At 39.4% G+C, this 21,570-nt stretch overlaps 1 protein-coding gene across 14 annotated transcripts in view; it reads right to left on the bottom strand.

Moving 5' to 3' along the window:
* ZFY (zinc finger protein Y-linked) overlaps nucleotides 1-20,043 on the bottom strand; it is a 47,126-nt gene extending 27,083 nt beyond the window's left edge. For 4 of the 14 annotated variants that reach the window (NM_001369702.1, NM_001369707.1, NM_001145276.2 and 1 more), the window contains exons 1-2: nucleotides 19,978-20,043; nucleotides 1,427-1,515 (exon numbers count right to left, since the gene is read on the bottom strand). In NM_001369702.1, the coding sequence (NP_001356631.1) occupies nucleotides 1,427-1,487 (61 nt within the window). In that variant the 5' untranslated portion in view covers nucleotides 1,488-1,515; nucleotides 19,978-20,043. Of the gene's footprint in view, nucleotides 1-1,426; nucleotides 1,516-9,144; nucleotides 9,243-19,654 lie in introns of those variants that run through there. The other 10 variants (NM_001369703.1, NM_001145275.2, NM_001369710.1 and 7 more) reach the window with 6 other exon arrangements.

Raw genomic sequence — 21,570 nt, 5'->3', positions numbered from 1 at the left:
CTGTACTTTGGGAAGCAGATAAAGAGGAATTATGTCCCAGGAGTTGCACTTAATGACTGATACCCAGAGAATAAGCATCTGATTTAAATGATACTTAGGACTTCTGAGCTGATTAATTTCAGGTAAGATTTTTTTTTTTTGGACTGGGAACTTTAAGAGAGGGTGGATGTTATTTTACATTTGCCAGAGACATATTTGAGAACCGGGGTGAAGATGGTGGCAGGGAGAATGGTCCTTTCACAAAGATGTCCATAAACTAATCCTTATAAATCTTGAAAATATGTTACTTGATATGGCAAAAGAAATTTTTCAGGTATAATTAAGATTATGAACTTAAAATTGGGCAATTATCTTGGATTACCCTGGTGCATCAAATCTAATCATGTGAGCTCTTAAACTGAATAGTTTTCTGGCTAGATTCAAGAAGACGGATGTGATAGAGGGGAAGATCAGAAAGACTAAAAACATAAGATGGACTCCACTCACTGCTGCTTCAGGAAACCACCATGCAAAGCATGAGAAGAAATGTGGGCAGGCTCTGAAAGCAAAAAATGGCCCTGGATGATGAACTGTAGGGAACAACAGTATCTCCATTGTGCAACAAAAAGAAACTAAATTTGGCTAAAAGTATGGATATTCTTCGAAGTCAAGAGCCTCCAGCCCTGCAGATAGCTTATTTTATTTATTTATTTATTTATTTATTTATTTATTTATTTATTTATTTTTTGAGACACTGTCTTGTTCTGTTACCCAGGCTGGGGTACAGCTGTGCCATTATAGCTCACCACAGCCTTTAACTTCTGGTAAAACAATCCTCCTACCTCAGCCTCCAGAGCAGCTAGAACTAGAGATATGCACCACCATGCTCAGCTAATTAAAAAAAAATTTTTTTTTCTGTAGACACAGGTTTCCATTGGGTTGTCCACCACCCACGATGGTCTCCAATTCCTGATCTCAAGCAATCCTCACAATTGAGCCTTCCAAAGCAATGAGATTACAGATGTGAGCCACCACACCTGGCCAACATCTTAATTTTAACCTTGTATAATTCTACACGCAGAACTCAATTGAGCCACATTTCTGACCTATAGAACTCTGAGATAAATTTGTCCTGTTTTAGATTAGTAAATTTGCTGAAATGTACCAATAGAAAAATAGAAAACTAGCACAAACAGAAAACATTTCAAAGGGAGAACTAGCAGGCTTTAGTTGCATAACTGGAAAAACTGGAATAACTGAAGGGTAACAGTAAGATTTTGATATTGATGGCTTAACTAACAAGATTATGAGTTGGCTATGAGATTCTGACAGGACCTAAGTATGGACCTAAGTACCTAAATATGGATTAACATCAGATTCTGCAATTTTGGTAAGTAATTCAAAATCTGGCAGATGGGAAGTGAAACAACCCAATAAATAGTAATACCTATTCCATCAAAAAATGAGTTTGGCTCTTGTGGCTGCAATTCAAATTCATCTTCATCCATGGCCTTTAATTCTCATTAGTCACAGCTCCTAAACCAGGGAATAAAGTATACCAAACATTAATTTTTATATCACATATTAAAATGTCATGATATTCACATTTCTGAAATGCTCAAATTATTTTTTACTAAGCTATCAATGTAAAATTAAAGGGAACAAATTGATTTCCAGGGATACATGGGCTGCAACAAGACAGGAAAGGGCAGGTAGATCAAATCAGATTGACAGTGTTTCTGTTTTTTTGTTTTTTAAAGATTTTGGGTCTTGCTATGTTCCTCACACTAGCTTAGTATTCCAGGGCTCAAGTAATTCTTCCTCCCTCAGCCTACTGAGTGGGTGGGACTACAGGCCGCCATATCTGGCTTGTTTAGATTTTTTAAAAAGTTCAATTATCATCTTATATAAAATTCACAATGCTTAAGTATTTAGCATAACAAATTTTTACCTAAGTGTTAACTGGAATTTGCATTATTTATGTTAAGTACGTAAGTGTTAACTGGTACTTGCATTATTTATATTAAGATAACAGAACATTTCTTACACACCAGATGACTCCCTCTTGCCTTCTATCAGTAACCCCCATGATTTTTTTTTTTTTTTTTGTAAACAGGGCCTCTGGCTCTGTCATACAGGCTAAACTGTAAGTGGCACAGTTCACTGCAGCCTCAACTTCTCAGGCTCAAGCAATGCTCACCCCTCAGCCCAACTACTTGGGACTACAAGTATGTGTCACCAAACCTGGCTAATTTTTAAAGTATCTTTTTGTATAGACAAGGTCTAACTATGTTGCCCAGGCTGGTGTCAAAGTCCTGAGCTTGAGCAATCCTCCCACCTCAGCCTCACAAAGTACTGGGATTACAGGAATGTTATTGTGTCTGGCACCCATGATTAACTCTCAACTTTAACACATTCTGTAGGTTTTTGCTGCAAGACTGTATTACATCTCTATATTTAACATAGTCTCCAGTCTTTCTACAGTAAATTAACAAAATGGTAAAAAACTCAAAATTCCTAATAATTATAAGCACTCCTCAGATTTCTGTGTAGCTTAAAAGCCCTCCCCATTCTCTCCCCTCAGAGACAGGGTCTCACCCTGTCACCCAGACTGGAGTGCAGTGGCATGATCATGGCTCACTGCAGCCTCCAACTCCTAGGCTCAAGTAATCCTCTTACTTCAGCCTCCCAAGCAGCTAGGACTAATGACACATGCCACTATGTCCAGCTCCCTTACTGTATTTTTAGCACATGCTATGGTCACTTATGTGTGTCAATTTTCAAATATTAAACTATATGATAAGGCAATATGCAAGTGAGAAACCAATGGATTTCCAAAGTGTTTCTCTGAAACAGATCTACTCAATTTAAAGAAAGTGTGTTTTATGACATTCAAACTGCTTCAAATAAAAAGGCCATGATGACTACACTAATATTTTGTCAACCACAGAAAAAGAAAAAGGGCACCTGCTCTAAATAAGCTGTCACTGCTCCCTCTACCCAAACAATCTCTGGCTTCATTAATTTTTCCCCTCTTAAAAAAATGTAATTATAAAATTATAAATGCAAACTAATCTTCTCTGCATAATTAAAGAAAACCACATGAAATTAAGGCAATGAATGATGGAATAAATGTGATTTGTTGGATTATTGAAGTGACCTTCCAATTTTCCTAAAAACAGCAATTTCATTAGTTCTAATAAAAGATCAACTTGTGGGCCAGGCATGGTGGCTCACGCCTGTAATCCCAGGACTTTAGGAAGCTGAGGCAGGTGGATCACAAGGTCAGGAGATCAAGACCACCTGGTGTCTTGACAGTACAGACAGTGAAACCCTGTCTCTACTAAAAATACAAAAAATTAGCCGGGCACTGTGACGGGCATCTGTAGTCCCAGCTACTCGGAAGGCTGAGGCAGGAGAATGGTGTGAACCCGGGAGACGGAGCTCGCAGTGGGCCGAGATCGTGCCACTGCACTCCAGCCTGGGCGACAGAGCGAGACTCCATCTCAAAAAAAAAAAAAAAAAGATCAACTTGTAGCGTAATTTTCCTGTTTCAGGTATTCATCTTCCTTACCTGTCTGTTAGAGTCTGATAGATGATCAGTTTCTTTAATTTTGAAACTCCCTCCTACCTCTTTGTTTATATGATATCTTAGTTCTCTTCTCACCTTCTTAACCGATGGCTACTATAGTCTTGTCCAAGGTTTCACATTCAGCTTTCCTCTCTACTACTTTCTCATTTATTTCCACAGTTTTTAATGACGACTTACGTGAAGATGATCCCCAAAATCCACACGCTGAGAAGGACCTAAAATTTCCATCAGACCGTTTACTGAACATCTTCAAAAATTAAAACCCAGATTTTTCCTGGCACAATCACTATGGCCTTTTCCTCCTTCCCTGACAGTTGGTTTCTCAGATCTTGTCAATTTCTTCTCCACAATTTCTCTGTTATGTTTGCCCTGCTTGTATTCCCATTATCACCAATCACTCTAAGCTTCCTATTTTCTGATCCCTAGAAATGAAAATAGTTTCTGAAATGGCCTTTGTAACACTTCCAAAACAAATGACTAGGAAACCTATTATAAGAAGGGGGTCTTGTAATGCCAACTAACAAGGCATTCCTACAATCTGTAGCCAGATGAATCTTCTTGAAGCACTGCTTTGATCACTCCCTTACCAAGAAGCAGTCTCCAATATTCAGTGACCTCCACATTATTAACCCAAGCTACCACATGACTTATTTACTGTTATTACTCAACTTTGCAACCTAGCTGGACAGCATGTCATTCTTCAAACGATCTTTATGTTTTTACCCTGGCACTCAACATCCTAGAATTTTCTAGGAGGTGAGGTCTTGAAAAAGTGGAGCTATACCTAGTCAACTGTCATTAGCAGGGTCAATAACTGCTAATATTTACAAATATTTATAAATGCAGGAAAATGTCACTATCAGTGACCTAGGGACATAGTGCTAGTGTCTCATGTATGTAACCAAACATCTGTGCCACAGATAGCTAAATTCTGGTTTAATCATTCTGAAACAGGCAATAAAGAGAAAAGAGCTCAAACAAGTGAGAAACCAACCACGAACTGCTACATTCTAGGACTCTATTCAGCACAACACCTACAAACTCAAAATCTTGAATGAAAGAGGGTTAAGTATAATTTTACGTCATATACATATCCCTACTATGTACTTGAGCCTATGATAAGGGCTGACCACCAATCCAATCTTCACTATAGTGAGCAATCATTCTTCAACAACACATTTGACTGATTATTGTCCTATTTTATCACGGCGAAAACTGACAGAGGCACAAGAGGTTCTTTTGCACTTCACTGTAAAGATGACCACACCTTTACGTTAGTAAGCTTTCTTGGGTTACAAATGCCAATTTCTTCCTACAACCAGAACAAAACCATGCTCTTAATGGTAATAATATTAACACAATTTTGATAAGGTGAAAAATAAGTTCCCATGATTTCACAGTAATTTCCCATGCCTTTGTAGTAAGAACCAAGCTTAGAGATCAGCTGAATTGGAAGACAAATAAGCAGAATGATCCAGAGGATCCACTCTGAAAAATAATTTAGGCCTGGTGTGGTGGCTTAATCCTGTAATCCCAGCATTTTGAGGGACCACGGGAGGGGGATCACTGGAGTCCAGGAGTTCTAGACAAGTCTAGGCAAATAGTTGGATCCCTTCTCTACAAAAAAAATTAAAAATTAGCTGGACGTCGTGGTGCACCTGTGGTCCCAGCTACTTGGGAAGCTGAGGTAGGAAGGATCATTGGAGCCTGAGAGGTCACGTAGCCATGACAGTGAGCTATGATTACACCACTGCACTCCAGCCTGGGTGACAGAGCAAGACAATGTCTCTATAAAAAACTGCAAAATTAGCCAGATGTGGTGGTGCATGCCTTCAGTCCTAGCTACAGTGGTATGAAGATGAGAAAACAACTAATAGCTAGTAAACCAAAAAAGGAGAAATAAAGCAATGTAAAGTAGAAAACCATTCTACAAACATATATATGAGTGTGTGTTTGTGTGTGTATGTGTATATATATGGGTTTTTTTGGTGTTCTTTTTTTTTGAGACAGGGTCTTGCTCTGTCACCCAGGATGGAGTGCAGTGGTGTGACCATGACTCACTACCGCCTCGACCTCCCACGCTCAAGCGATCCTCTCATCTCAGTCTCCAGAGTAGCTGAGACTACAGGCACTTACCAACATGCCTGGGTAATCTTTTTTTTTTTTTTTTTTTTTTTTTTTTTTGTAGACATGAGGGTCTCAGTACATTGACCAAGCTGGTCTTTCACTCCTGGCCTCAAGGTAACTGCCTGTCTCTGCCTCCAAAGTGCTGGGATTATAAATGTAAGCCATCACAGCCAGCAATATTGCTAAAATAATCTCGATAAAGGCTCTTGAAAATTTATTAGCTTTCACAAGTAATGTAAGAGTGCCTATTTCCCAAAAACTAATAAGCATCACAGACTTTAATTTTTTGGCCAGGTTGGGTGCCGTGGCTCACCCCAGTAATCCTAGCACTCTGGGACGCTAAGGCAGGTGGAATGCTTGAACCCAGGAATTTAAACCCAGCCTGGCCAACATGGTGAAACCCCATCTTTACAAACAATACAAAAATTAGCCAATCATGATAGTGGGTACCTGTAGTCAGTTATCTGGGGTTTGAGGAGGGAGAACTGCTTGAGCCCAGGAGGTTGAGGCTGCAGTGAGCCATAATCTTGTCACTGTACTCCAGCCTGGGCAACAGAACTAAACTGTCTCAAAAAAAGGAAAAAAAAAATGTGACTGTGCATGGTGGCTCACACTTGAAATAGCAAAGGCAAGAGGATCGTTTGAGGCCAGGAGTTCAATACCAGCTTGGGCGACAGAGTGAAACTCTTTCTCTACTAAAAAAAAAAAAATTAGTTGGGTGTGGTGGCACACCCCTGTAGTCCCAGCCATCAAGAAGGATGAGGAGAGAGAATGGCTTGAGCCTAGGAGTTTGAGCTTGCAGTAAGCTATGAAGCTTTTTAATACCCTGTCTCAAAAAAAGAAAAAGTAATAATAACTTCTAACCCCCTTACTGAAAACAAACAAACATTTATATCCAATGTGTTTTTTCTGGAAAGTCTGCTTGTGCATTTCATACATCTCTCTATCAAGTTTCATCTCACTGATGTGATGTTATGCGTGTTGATAATGTTATGTGATCTATTGTTATACTTCTATTTATCCATCATATATTTAAATTTTTTAAGCAACCCCATCAGATTTTGATTGGAACTGCATCAATCTACACTGATCAATCTGAAAAGAAATAGCATCTTTAAAATATTAACTTTTCTACTCCATATCTATTCTTTAATTTAGGTCCTCTTAGATTTAATATATGAATATGTGAGAAAGATTGTTTCATTACATTTACTTCAAAGCACTGGATGTTAGCCTGCTATAGGCTTCTTTAATAAAGTCAGAAATAAAAGTCAAATGTTAGTCTTTTTAACTTGTATCCATGTTTGTTTTAATTTATTCTAACTTCACCCATTTTTAAAAGGTGGCATAATTTGTTAGATGCAAAAATCTGTTAAGCCCTTTGTATAAACCAACTATTTAATTCACCAAAAGTAGTAGGTATGACCAACCCTATTTTCCAATTAAGGAAATTGAAGCTTAAAATGCTAAGAAGGCTGCTCAATGACACACTATGGCAAAAGAAGATCTTTCATTTATGGTGTCAAACCACCAAGTCTATTGTTTGTCTCAGTACTCCGTATCATAATCTGTGACTTCATTCCATTTTATTCCTCATGTAAATTTCAACTACTTATTTTTTAATCTTTTAATTCCTTATTCTCTAGTTTCAGTTGTTTCACAATATCTTCATTTAGTCTACTTTAACTTATCTGAATGTTCATTATCTTAGTCTCAAGAGTTTTATGGTTGCAGAGGAAAACAAAAGTCCTAAGAATGAACATATTTAGCATGTTACTTACTAGTCTCTAAAGTAGTACTTGCACACATTTAGGGAATGGATGTAAAAAGACAAAAATCAAAACTTTTGTTTTTATATATTGTAACATCTCATCCTTTAAATGTCTACCTTGTATGTTTAAAAACAAGTAATAGTTTAACAAGATACGTGAATAAGAAAAACTGGAGATTACTCAACTAAAAAATGCAAACACTCCTCCCTTTATAAACTGTAACTGCTTCCCACTCAACACATTGTCTTTGTTAATCAGTCTGAATGGCAAATACAGCAACATGATGACAATACAAAGTAATTACAAAGCAATTATGTTGTAAGATGAAAAATGTAAATCCTACAATATATGTATAAAAAACTGGTGAATGTGAAAAAAAAATGTTCAATCACAGTCATGGCCATTGGCTTAAACATAGATCTCCCTTTATAACTGTAGAAAGAAATTATAACTGTAGAAAGAAAAACACAACTGTAAGCTCGGAAGCTATTTTTTTCCAAAGGAGAATTATGTGAATATCAAGACCTGCAACAGCTCTTAGAAAACTGACAAAGCCCTTGAATATATTTTCTTTATTATCATGCAGTGCGTTTCAATGAAAATACCATTACTGTACTATCACACAATTTTGTCAGCCAAAACAGAATCCACCATTTAATTCATTCTGTTCATTCAAATAATTAGTACACAGGATTACAATTACATCTGATTTTTGAAAGATGAAACAAATTCATAATGTTTATTTCATCTATAGAAATAAAATCTCAAGCTACTTTGCACCGTATTATAAAACTTTTATCCTGATTTTCCATGGTCCAACTTTCTTCCATATCAAAATACTCAGAAAACATTAATATGGCGTGTTATACACATTTCTTTGATATCACTGTAATGCTTTTAACTTCTATTTAGCTTTCCTCAAAATTTTTTTTTTTTGAGACGGAGTCTCACTCTTTTTGCCCAGGCTGGAGTGCACTGGCGCAGGCGCAATCTTGGCTCACTGCAACCTCCACTTTCCAGGTTCCAAGCAATTCTCGTCTCAGTCTCCTGAGTAGCTGGGATTACAGGTGCCCGCCACCAAGCCCAGCTAATTTTTTTTCGTATTTTTTTTTTTTTTAGTAGAGATGGGGTTTCAGCATGTTTGGCCAGGGTGGTTTCAAACTCCTGACCTCAGGTGATCCACCCGTTTCAGCCTCCCAAAGTGCTGGCATTACAGGCAGAAAGCCACTGTGCCTGGCCCAAATATTTTTAATTTAATATATCCTATTTATCTTAAAAATTCATCTTTTTTTTTTCTTATCTGCTACTCCACTCAACCAATCTTTTCAAGATAAAGCAAATTTTAAACTTCCCTTTTTTTCCTGGCCACCAAACCCTATCTTCAAGTAGAAGTTTAAATAGAAAATAAACACACTGATTTTCTACTGCCTGAAATCAAGTAACTGGGTTTAACATTAAAACAAAATAACTGAAAAGACGTAAGTAGAAGCAATTTATTTATAAGCTGTTGTTTAAAAAGATGGTGAGATAAAATCATTCAGTAAAATAAAAAGTCAGAAAAGAGATGGGAACTCATATGAAATATTGGCAAACAGACAACATAAAATACAATGGAAAAAGATTTAAAAATATTTCCTAAATAAGAGATTAAACACACCTGGAAATGATACTCACTCAATGGGTTATGTTTAAAATCCTCCTTGTGGCCAGCCAGGGTGGCTCATGTCTATAATCGCAGCACTTTGGGAGGCCAAGGTGATTGGATTGCTTGAGCCCAGGAGTTCAAGACCAGCCTGGGCAACATAGTGAGATCCCATCTCTTTAAAAAAAAAAACCTCCTTGCATGCCTTTGTTAATAGGAGATTAAAATTAAAACCATTACATATTCTAGTTTTTTAAAAAATTATACAATTTTTATAAGAGGTAGAAAAAGATTTTTAAAAAAGGCATTTTAACAAACAAAAAAGCCAGAAATTAGCCAAAACACATTTTAAGACAAGAATCATCATCAGTGTTGAAATACATCATGTCTTAATGTTAAAAAGAAAATAGTGACATAATATGCAATAGTCCTAAACACAGGCACCTAACAATACAGCCCAATAAATAAATACATACATTTGAAAACAAAGGGAAAAACTTAAATAATTCAGGGGTAACAAGTAAAATATTTATAGAGGCTGGGTGCAGTGGCTCATGCCTCTAATCCCAGCACTTTGGGACGCTAAGGTGGGAGGATCACTTGAGGTCAGGCGTTAGAGACCAGCCTGGCCAACATGGTCCTGGCCAATATGGTTAAACCTCATCTCTACTAAAAACACACAAAAAATCAGCCCGGTGTGATGGCATGCAACTACTTGGGAAGCTCAGGCACAAGAATTGCTTGGACCTGGAGGCACAGGTTGCAGTAAGCCGACATCGTACTACTCCACTCCAGCCCGGGCAACAGAGTGAAATGCTGAGTCAAAAGAGGGGAGGGGAGGGGAGGGGAGCAGCTTTAATTGAACATACTGTAAAAAGTGAAATTAAATACAAATGTGCTAAGCCTCCTACATATGCACACACAGAAAACTGAAAAAAAAAAGGATAATAAACTCAAGCAAAAGGGAACAAAAGATATGGACAAAAAGCATCAACAAAAAAATTGCTTAAAAAATATAATCAAATTCCTATTTGGCAAGGAAAAATGGCAAAATGTAAAAAGCTTATCAGAAAAAAGCAAACTGACAGAATTATACATGTTTTATAAGTCATAAGATAAAACTATAAATATTTATATCCTATTTATAAACATATTTCTAGGACATTAAAAATTCTGTATAAGCAACAAGAACATACTCAAGAAAAGCCAAAGACATATCACCATGAAAGAAACTTTCAATAGATCAAATGTCAAAAAAATATTCATGGCCAGGCATGGTGGCTCACATCTGTAATCCAGCACTTTGGGAGACCAAGGCGGACAGATCACCTGACGTCAGGAGTTCGAGACCAGCATGACCTACATGGAGAAACCCCATGTCTACTAAAAATACAAAATTAGCTGGGCATTGTGGCCCATGCCTGTAATCCCGGCAACTCAGGAGGCTGAGGCAGGAGAATCGCTTGAACCCAGGAGGCAAAGGTTGCAGTGAGCCAAGATTGCACCACTGACTGCAACCTGGGCAACAGAACGAGACTCTGTCTCAAAAAAAAAAAAAAAAAAAAAAAAAAAAAATCATAAAAAGACTCCACGTACAAGTAAATATACAAAGAAATTCTAAGTTCAAAGAAACAATGAATCCCTTTTTAATAGGCAACCTGTGTCCAGAAAGAGAGAAACCCTCATTACGTGAGTTTAACATAACCTTATCAAACTGTGAAAGAAAAAAAATTACAGGACTGTAATTTTGTTTCTATTTTATTAGCATCTATGAGACTGTGCAGATAGGACTACAATAAGGCAATGTAAATATTAAACATCCAGGTGATTCAAAGAACGTTTAAAGTTAGAAACTCTGTTAACGCAATTAAGCACATTAATAAATTAAAGGAGAAAATCAACAGATGCAACCAAAGTTATCTTAAAAATTCAACTCCTCCTTTATATTAAAAAAAAAAAACTCTAAAATTGTGAATGGAAGGAAGCTTAAAGAATATCTTCCCAAGAAAACATCTTAACATCAGTATTTAAGGATAAAACACTGGAAGCACTTCTTTCAAAAAATCTAGACCACCAGAAAAGAAATCTAACATCACTCTTCACAGATAATATAATTGTACAAAAAATGCAAAAAAAATCGTTATTACTGCTAAATCTCACTATGTCTACATGCTCACAATTGTAGCATGAGCCTTTATATACCACTAAGAAAAAACATTCAAGTAAATTGATATACTGGAGTTCTTTTAGATTTATTCACACAGTTTTTAAAAATCATACACCACTCTTATGCATACATAGAAAGAACAATAACATCCAAAGGAAATTGGCTCAGGGTATTGATAAAATTTATTTGAATTCAGAGTGCTACTTTTACTCACTTTTCTATTCACTGCTGTTCAATGTCCTTATCTTTCTAACAATAGAGTCATCTTGATAACAACAGTGCCAACGATGAAGCATACTAAATTATCATCTCTAGAATATTCTTTCAAGTCAAAGACATCTACTTTCCAAGTTCTAATGCTAGTACTTTACCATTTGACAAGTCTGTTTCATCATTTCCCCTCAATTGAACCACGCTAATTTATGGTAAGGAACTGCTCTCCAAAATTAGAAAATATATAATAAACACATTACAACGCATTTGTACTCAACCTATGACCAATTAACCTCTGACTGAACCAAGGGCCAATCAAACCTGCCTCTGGCCATTTCCTTCAGCCAGGCACAGTGGCTCATGCCTGTAATCCCGGCTGAGCCTTTGAGAGGCTGAGGCAGGCAGATCACGAGGTCAGGAGTTCGAAACCAGCCTGGTGAAACGACATCTCTACTAAAAATATATAAAATATATATAATTAGCCAAGCATGGTGGTACACGCCTGTAATCTCAACCATTCAGGAAGCTGAGGCAGGAGAATTGCTTGAATCCAGGAAGCGGACATTGCAGTGAGCTGAGATCACGCCACTGTACTCCAGCCTGGGCAACAGAGCGAGACTGCTTCTTTAAATAAATAAATAAAAATTGCTTCAATTTATCCAAAGGAAATTTATTTTATTTACAGTTACACTGTTTGGCATGTATCAGCAACCTGATTAGTGCCAAAAATGGATGCAATTCATTTGAAGTGATAACAAAATGAACAACTTATAAATTGGAAAACTGATTATACAACTCTATCCATGGTAAAATACATTCAGATTTTAGAAGTGCTAAAATATGAAGATTTATACATCTCAGAAGCTATGAAATATGATCACGGAATTTTCAGCAAGGTTGCTGAAAGTCAATAGGATTTCTATTATAAATTACAACAACTGGTAAGTATAACTTTTTGAAATTGTTATTCATAATGGCAACAAAAGTCACACAACATCTTGGTATAGTTATCCAAAATTTTCCAAGATCTCTATAAAAAGCAATATTAATATATTGTAGGTATAGTATGTTAGTATAACCCCAGTGGAAAACTGTAAAGAGATTTCTCAAAGAACTATATTTATCATAGAGCTATTCACTGTTGCAAAGATATGGAAACAACCTATGTGTCCATCAATAAATGAATGGAGAAAGAAAATGTGGCACAGCTGGGGGCCATGGTTCATGTCTGTAATCCCAAGACTTTTGGAGGCTGAGACAGGAGGATCACCTGGACCCAAGAGTTCAAGGCCAGCTTGGGTAACATAGTGAAAAACTGCCTCTACCAAAAAGTAAACAAAAAAAGAAAAAAAAAAGAAAAATTTACGCAGGAATGGTGGTGTGCACCTGCAGCCCCAGCTACTGGGGAGGCTGAGGTGGAAGGATCATGTGAGCCCGGGAAGTCAAGGCTGCATTGAGCCATGATCAGGCACTGCACTCCAGCCTGGGTAACAGAAGTGAGACCCTGTCTCAAAAAAAAATTAAAAAAAAAAAAAAATAGCCCTGGCACTACAGCCTAGATAACAGCAGAGAGGCCCCGTCTCAAAAAAAAAAAAAAAAAAAAAAATGCAAATTGCAAATTTGTGAAGTTCCATATTTAAAAAATAAAAATAACCAAAAAAAAGGAAAGAAAAATTAGCCAGGCACATTGGCTCACACCAGTAATCCCAAAAATTTTGGAGGCCAAGGTGGGAGGATCGCTTGAGCTCAGGATTTCAAGACCAGCCTGAGCAACATAGTGACACCCCTATCTCTACAAAAAATACAAAAGTTAGGCTCAGGCACGGTGGCTTATACCTGTAATCCCAGCACTTTGGGAGGCTGACATAGCCTGGTCATTTGAGGCCAAGAGTTCAAGACTAGCCTTGCCAACATGGTGAAATGAATTGTGACCACTCCACCACACTCCAGCACAGGAAACAGAGATATACACACACACACACACACACACACACACAGTTTATATTGGCGGAGGGTGGGCAAGCGGGGAAGCTCAACCTCACTAAAAATATGATAAATGCAAAATTAAAACAACTGGGTATTATTCCATCTCCAAAACCCTGAAAGAAATTAAACTGTCAAATCTTTGGGGCCAGGTATGGTGGCTCATGCCTGAAATGCCAGCACTTCGTGAGGCCAAGATGGACAGCTCACCCGAAGTCAAGAGTTCAAGACCAGCCTGGCCAGCATGACAAAACCCTGCCTTTACTAAATAAATAAATAAATAAGCCAGGTGTGGTGGCACGTGCCTGTAGTCCCAGCTATTCCAGAGGCTGATGCACAAGAACTGCTTGAACCCAGGAGGCAAAGGCTGCAGTGAGCCAAGACTGCACCACTGTACTCCAGTCTGGGCAACAGAATGAGACTCTTCTCTCAAAAAAAAAAAAAAAAAATTTGGTAATGATATGGAGAAACAGTCTAATAGAAAACTTAGTATCAACTAGATACAACCAATGTGGAAAGAATTTGGTAATTCCAGTAAAGTTGACAATGCACATACACTTCAGATTACCAATTCCACTTAAACCCAAAAGAAGTTAATCATGTACAAAGATGTTACAGCCACATTGTTTCAAAATTGCAAAAGACTGGAAATCTAACTGGTTCCTAGTAATGAATAAACAGGCCACAGTACATTTATAAACTATAATAGAATATAAATAAATTCAGATTAATGATTTCCCAAACGTTTTCACCTTAGGACTCCTTTACAATTAAAAAATTTGAGAGTCCTCAAAGAGCTTTTGTTTAAGCAGGTTTTATTATCAATATATGCCATTTTAAAAGTTAATGCCTAGTAATTTTATGAAAAGTTTATGTTTATTCACTTACAACTAATAAACCATTAATATTAAAATAAATAACACTGTATTAAAAGCACTTTCCACAATACAAATTTTTTATGTTAATCTTTTTAATACCTGGCTTAAATAAAACAGGTGGATTCCTCTGCTTCTGCATTCAACTTTCTGAAACATCTGAAACTCATGAAAACTCTACCACACACTACATTCATGGGATAATAAGAGTAAAAAAGGTAAATAACTTCTCGGTAATTTTTTAAAAATTGTTGTCCTCTCACAGACATCTGAAAAGGTGTCAAAGATCCCCATGGGTTCCTAGACCAACTTTTGCTAACTAAAATATCAGATCCACAGGTAACATGAAAGAAACTCAAAAACTCACTGTTGAGTGATAAAAAATACACAAAATGACACATACTATAAGATACCTTTCTAAAGTTAAAACATATACAAGGAAACCAGTCTGGGGAAAAAGAAGCAGGATTGGGAAGCACTGAAGGCAACTCTTAAAAATGACCTGCAGAATTCCATTTCTTTAAATAGAAAAAGACATGAAACAAGTATGAAAGACTGTAACATTTGTTACAATCTGTTACAACAGGTTACAATCTGATACAACAGATTTGTACTTGCTTACTAAGGACAGAAGATTTTATAATTTACATGTTTAATATATTAACTATGTTAATTTTTTAAAGCCATTGACGTAGATTCCTTTGTGCCTCGCCTAGATTCAAATTCCTCTTTCAATAAAGCAGGATTTGGTTATAATCTAGTAACTCTCCTTTATTTCATTTTATAGCTAAATAAGAAAGCCGTATTTATGAAAATACTACGTTTAAAACAATTTAGTAAGAAAAAGAATGGGCTCTCAGTCAAGGTAGATTGTGAAAGCAATGGTGGAAACATGTTCCTGAGAATCCTGTTTTCATCTGCTGCCTTCAAAAAATGAACACTGTATGCCTTAACACTTACACAATTCAAGAACACTATTTGGCTCCTTAATTTCAATTGGAGGGCTATTCAACTCCATATAAATCTCTGCATTAAATTATTCAAATAATTTTTTTTGGAATAATGTTTACCTGCCAAATCATTCTGTTAGGGGAGCAAATCAAGATAAAAAACTATCTACTATAATTAAGGGCTTCGAAAGTTACGGATGAAAACAAAAAGTATAAACCTACATTTAGAATACAACAGATTAAATGTTAATTAAAGATATCTACACTGCTCTAAGTGACCGGGATGAAAGAAAGCCTGGTAAAACAGTAGTGTTTGGAAAAGAAAGAAAGCAAAATCAGGAATTATTTTAGGGACTGTAGAGTAAAAGAGGTTCACTGCACATTACTGGGTACCTACTATGTGCCAGATAAATTTGGTTTCAGCAATATTAAATATGGACTGTTAATAAGAGATCAGGATGGAGATGTTCAGTAGATAACTGTAAATGCTAGATGACAAATTTGATGAGTGAAAATAAGAGACAGTGATGCAGGGAAGAAGTTTGGAGAAAACAAGTAATTAATCTCAAGTTAAATTCCACATTTAGGTTAGGAAAACGACCAGAGCAGACAAAGAAAGCACAGAGAGTTTCTGAAATGCAGTACACTTTCATGTGACACACCAATTACCTGCTGTGGAACCGTTTCACACGTTGAGTAATACCAGATTTAGAAGCGGGAAGAATAGAAATAGAAGGACTAGTGAAACTAAAGAGAAAACAGATAAGGTTTTTGTAAAACGAGCATACCTATGAATATTTATAGGAAGGGGCAGGCAGAGAGCAGGGAAAAGGGTAAGCAGAGAAAATGGACGTTGAAAGCAGCACTTCTTCCATCGGCAAAAGAAAGTGTAGGAAGAAATAAAGAAAAAGCATGAAATGAATGAGATCAAACATATGTATCATATAGTCATCTATCTTTCTCAATTAAGTAATGAAGTAATATGCAGGGGTTGAAGAATTTAAGAATCTAAAAAGGTTTGCAATTGCCAGAATGCATAAATGCAACAATTCAAAGGATATCAATTAGTGACAATACAAATGTAAACAGAGTTATTTATTTATATATATATATATATATATATATATATATATATATATAAGCACTGTATGCTTTTTGAAAGAAAGTTAAGGGGCATCTATTTGAATATAAATACACATAAATTAAAAACTAACAACTCATTCATCCAAGATAATTGGCTACCAGAGGTCGGGCACCGTGGTTCACGCCTGTAATCCCAGCACTTTAGGAGGCCAAGGTGGATGGATCATCTGAGGTCAGGAGGTCGAGACCAGCCTGACCAACATGGCGAAACCCCATTTCTACGAAAACTAGAAAAATTACCTGGGTATGGTGGCACACACCTGTAGTCCCAGCTACTTGGAAGGCTGAGGCAGGAGAATCGCTTGAACCCAGGAGGCGGAGGTGGCAGTGAGCTGACAGCAACAATGCACACCAGTCAGGTGACAGAACAAGACTCCGTCTCAAAAAAAAGAAATTGGCTAGCAGATCATCAAGGTCTATCCTATCAGGCAAAAAAATATTTTATACTTAACAATTTCCTTATAAATCCTTTAAAACTATACACTTGCCTATGTTCTTTTTGCACATCCACTGCTGATGTACTGGAACATCTACAGCTGCTGTACTGTACAAGATACAGTTCTATCTTCTTTACAGCTCTTCAGCTGTCAAGATATAAGGCAACTACCTCTACAGTTTATGCTGACCCCTTAGCAAGTCGACAACTAGATTGCATTAAAAATTTGTTTTGACGGCCGGGCGCGGTGGCTCACGCCTGTAATCCCAGCACTTTGGTAGGCCGAGGCGGGTACATCACGAGGTTAGGAGATGGAGACCATCCTGGCTAACACCGTGAAATCCCGTTTCTACTAAAAAAAAAAAAAAAAAAAAAAAAAAAAAAAAAAAATTAGCCCGGCGTGGTGGCGGGCGCCTGTAGTCCCAGCTACTTGGAAGGCTGAGGCAGGAGAAAGGCGTGAACCCGGGAGGCGGAGCTTGCAGTGAGCCGAGATCGCGCCACTGCACTCCAGCCTGGGCGACAGAGCGAGACTCTGCCTCAAAAAAAAAAAAAAAATGTTGCTTTGACTACCTCCTGCAATATACTGCCAGACACTTTTGTAAAACAGCAATCTCTAGTTCCCTTCAGACTTCTTTGAATCATCAGCGTTGTGATCTGCTGCAGTCTGGGAAGACTCAAAACCTGCGTTTTATTTAGTAAAAGTCTAGGAAGCAAGTGCTGCTATACATGTTCTCTGAAACTACTGCATCTAGGACCCTCACATATAAAGTGAACAGCGAATTTTAAAGCTTGCTTACCTTCACCAAGAAGAAGGGCAAAGTTTCATAAAGCCACCTGAAGGCTACTGCATTTCTGAAAACTGCTTTTCTAAACATACCTCTCAAACTGATTTCCTGTACTTTTGTAATTTTCAACCACAGTAAATACAATTTTGCTTACAATTTTAAATAGGAGCAAAAGATTATTTGGTAAACTTTCGATGCAAAAACGAAGCAGCAGTCTAGTAGAGACTAATTCAAAAAATAGCCACATTCTTTTTTTTTTTTTTTTTTTTTTGAGACAGACTCTCACTCTTGTTCCCCAGGCTGGAGTGCAGTGGTACGATATCGACTCACTGCAACCTCCGCCTTCAAAGTACCTGGGATTACAGGCGCGCGCCGTCATGCCTTGCTAGTTTTTTTGTATTTTTAGTAGAGACGGGGTTTCGCTATGTCGGTCTCCAGCTGGTCTCGAGCTGGATTCGAACTCCTGACCTCGGGTGATCCGCGCACTTCGGCCTCCCAAAGTGGTGGGATTACAGGCGTGAGTCACCGCACCTGGCCAAAAAACAGCTACCTTCTTGATCATCCATCCAGTAACGAAAACACTTATCAATTTATACTAGCTCTCAATCCTTCTCAACCTTTAAACTTTTGTAACAGCTGCAGCCAGAGCTCAGCATAAACTGAGGTGTGCCACCAATGTATTTCAAAATCTACTTTTTACAGCCTAAATTTGAATCCCTTTCCTATCTATATTATCCACTCCAGCAAAACCGTAAATATTTGCATCTTCTACAGACATTTCATTCTTGTAATGACCTCTCCTACTCCCATTCCTCACCCTAGCTAAACCCCATCTACTTCAGGATTCCCAATTTTGCAAACTGAAACCTCGCCTTCCTGTGAAATGCCCGCAGCAAACTTTTTGCAGTCACGTTCTGCATTAAGAGCCTTTTAAATCTTTCTTAGCACCTAGCACTGTCCAACGCTCACATTACTGTGCTCCAATTTTCCAGCAAAGTTGTACAAAATGCTAACAAAAGTATTTTGAAGATGAAACTGTATAAGAAATTTCAAATAAAATCTCAATGTCATCATGGGTATATGAACCTACAAGTAATGCATGAATTGTCTTTCAAAAAGAAAAATACCTCTTCTGCCTATTTTCCATCTCTTACTCAAAAAAAGTACACGGACTAAAAAAAAGCTCGCTCGTTTAAATACAGCTCATCAAAAAAGTGTTTCCACATAAATGGGAAAAGTCGCCTTGGGGAAATTTTATTCCTCTGCCCTCGTGCTGTATAATTTGTACTGTACTGTCTATTGGACGAGTGCCTAATAACTTTTTCATAATAAATTCCAGTTCTATTTTGCAGATCCTCGAAGAGGCAATGATGGTTGAAAAATAAGCGCATCGAAGGTCCCCGAACAGCCACATAATGACTTTAATTAGGGGAAAATAAAATTTTCTGGAATTTATGTGCTCTCGTGAGCCTAGATGCCCGAATTGCCACCTGCTGAAACGGGTGGCTGTAGACTCTCGGAAGGGCACAGAGCCGGGAGCGCTGAGGGGCGAAATGACCCCGGCGCCCGAACGGACGCCTGCGGCATGTCACCTAAAGCGTAGCCGACACTGCACCCAGCCAAGGATGGGCTGTGAGGGGAAGGCCGAAAGGTGGCGCTGCCGCAGGCGTCTGGAACGTACGCGCGCATATGGCGACAAAGGCAAGGGCCGCCAAGGGAACGAGCACGCCCTGTTGCGCAGACACGCCGTCGCGCCGGAGGCTGCGCTGCCGCCGCCGCCGCCGTCCTTTTCCCCATCCCCGCCTCAAGGATCATAACCGAATTTTTTTTCCAGATACCGCCTTCAAGATGGCGGCTCCGCCTCCCGACAACACTCTCAATACTCCCCAGCAGCAGGCGCCTAGCAGCCGCCATCTTGCCCCCCCGTCCCTCCTCCCCTTCGCGGACATTTACATAGCGAAAATAGGCCCAGCAGGCCTCCGGCCTTCACCTCACGCCTGCAGCCTTCGCCTTCTCGCCCCCGTGCCGTGCCCTGCGTCCGCAGTGGTGTCGACCCCAGGTCCATCAACTGCCTTCCGGACAAACGGGCGAACTTTTCCCACCCTGCCCGCTTATGGAGCGCACCTCCGCAGCCGCTCAGGGCAACTGGATAATCACTAGGCCTAACTGCGGCCTCCTCGGGGCCTGTTCGGCGCCGAGCGCCACGCCGGCCGGCCTAGCGCGGGAGGGCGCCCTACGGGACGCCGACCAGGCCACAAACAGGTTACTGCGCGCGCACTAGGCCCCGCGGCCGCGGGGGCACGCGGGACTCACCCGACGGATGTGCGGGCGGTCGGCGACAGCGGCGGGTGCTGCAGGACGGCCTTTCTCTGGAGCACTGGGCCGGGCTCCGGCTGGTAGGGCGGGCGGAGGGAGGGAGGAGGGGCCGAGTTCGGAGCTGACAAAAAGCGGCCCAGCTCCCCGGCACGGGCCCGCCGTCAGCACGTCACGTCACCGCCCGGGAGAGAGACCCAGGAAAATGCGGGATGGTAGTTGGGCCCCCTCCGCCCGGTGGGCCTCTCGGCGCCCCGGGTCGGCGCCGGTCACGCCCCGAGTCCGGGGAGTCCAGTGACCTCACTGCGGTGGGGTCTCCGGCAGCTGGAGTTTCCGTCACAACGTTCCTTTTCTCCGCGCGCCCGCCGTCACCACTACTTGCGCACCACCGCCTTAGTTGGTTGCGTGCAGGCAAGCGGCCCCGCACCGGGCCAGGCCACCCCCTGCCATCTCCGGTGGACCTGGGATTCCTAATCTCCCACACCCTGCGCCAGGCTCTCCCGAGACCTATCGCCTCTCGGCGCCAGTCCTAGCCAAGGCGACAGATCTCATTGTTGCAGGCCCTTAGACCCCCGCCCTCAGTAAACGTGTTTACTTTATTCCTAGGGTTGAGGAGGAAAGCAGATACAGACATATAGCATTCCCCACTGTCTCCTTTGTTGGCTTTAAAAAAAAAAAAAAAGAAAGTAAATGGACTTGCCACAGTGTACAGGCAAGAGGAGGGGAGGATTATCCTAATCAATTACTGAGCCAATTGATTTTTTTTTTTGCGTTAACGTAGGTATTTTGACCAAGATTTGTAATGTCTAGTGTGTGTTCTTTATGGCAGTGTTTCATCTTTTGGCATCCTTGAAATGTCAGTTTTGTGTAATTGTCTCATGAACAATGAATTATGCACACCCTTTAATAAATGTAAACTAACAATTGGTTTTGGGATTGTCTTCTTACAAAATTATTTATCCTCTTAAAGTTTAAAAAGGCTTTAGAGACTGAGAGGAAAATGCATTTGATTAAACAGATAGTACTGATGAACTCCAAAAACGTGTATTGTGCGTTTTCATTACTTTACGTTTTAATGCACTCTAATTTCCCATTAAACTAGGTACCCAAACTGTGTTTAAAAGTTGCTACTAAAAAGTTAAACATGCCTATCGCGGTCGCTCACCTCTGAGCGCTTTGGGAGGACAAGGCTGGAGTATCGCTTGAGGCCAGCAGATACAGGCGGACAGCTGTGATCAAGCCACTGCACTGCAGCCTGTGGGCCAGAGCCGGTAATCTCTAAATGTAGAGGCCAGGTATTTCAGTTTTCTAGCATACCTATTTTTAAAACTCAGAAATCATCTTGTCCTTAACTGAGAAACCTAAAAATCATAAAATGCTTTACGAAAGGAAAACCAGTGGTACATAGTTGATATAATGAGTTAAGTGCTGGATAGCAATTCTCTTTTCAAACCATTGGTTTGACCTTGTTTTCTCAAGTCGTTACCTTTTGTTTCAAAAATGATAAATGAGAGGCGGCTCACCCCTGTAATTCCAAAACACTTTGGAAGGCTGAGATAAAATCAGCTTGTGCTCAACTGATAGTTGGAGACA

Source organism: Homo sapiens, chromosome Y (genome assembly GCF_000001405.40).
Source record: "Homo sapiens chromosome Y, GRCh38.p14 Primary Assembly".
Lineage (NCBI taxonomy): Eukaryota > Metazoa > Chordata > Mammalia > Primates > Hominidae > Homo > Homo sapiens.
Note: the sequence above shows the minus strand (reverse complement) of the source record. Positions and strands in the feature narration are given on the sequence as shown.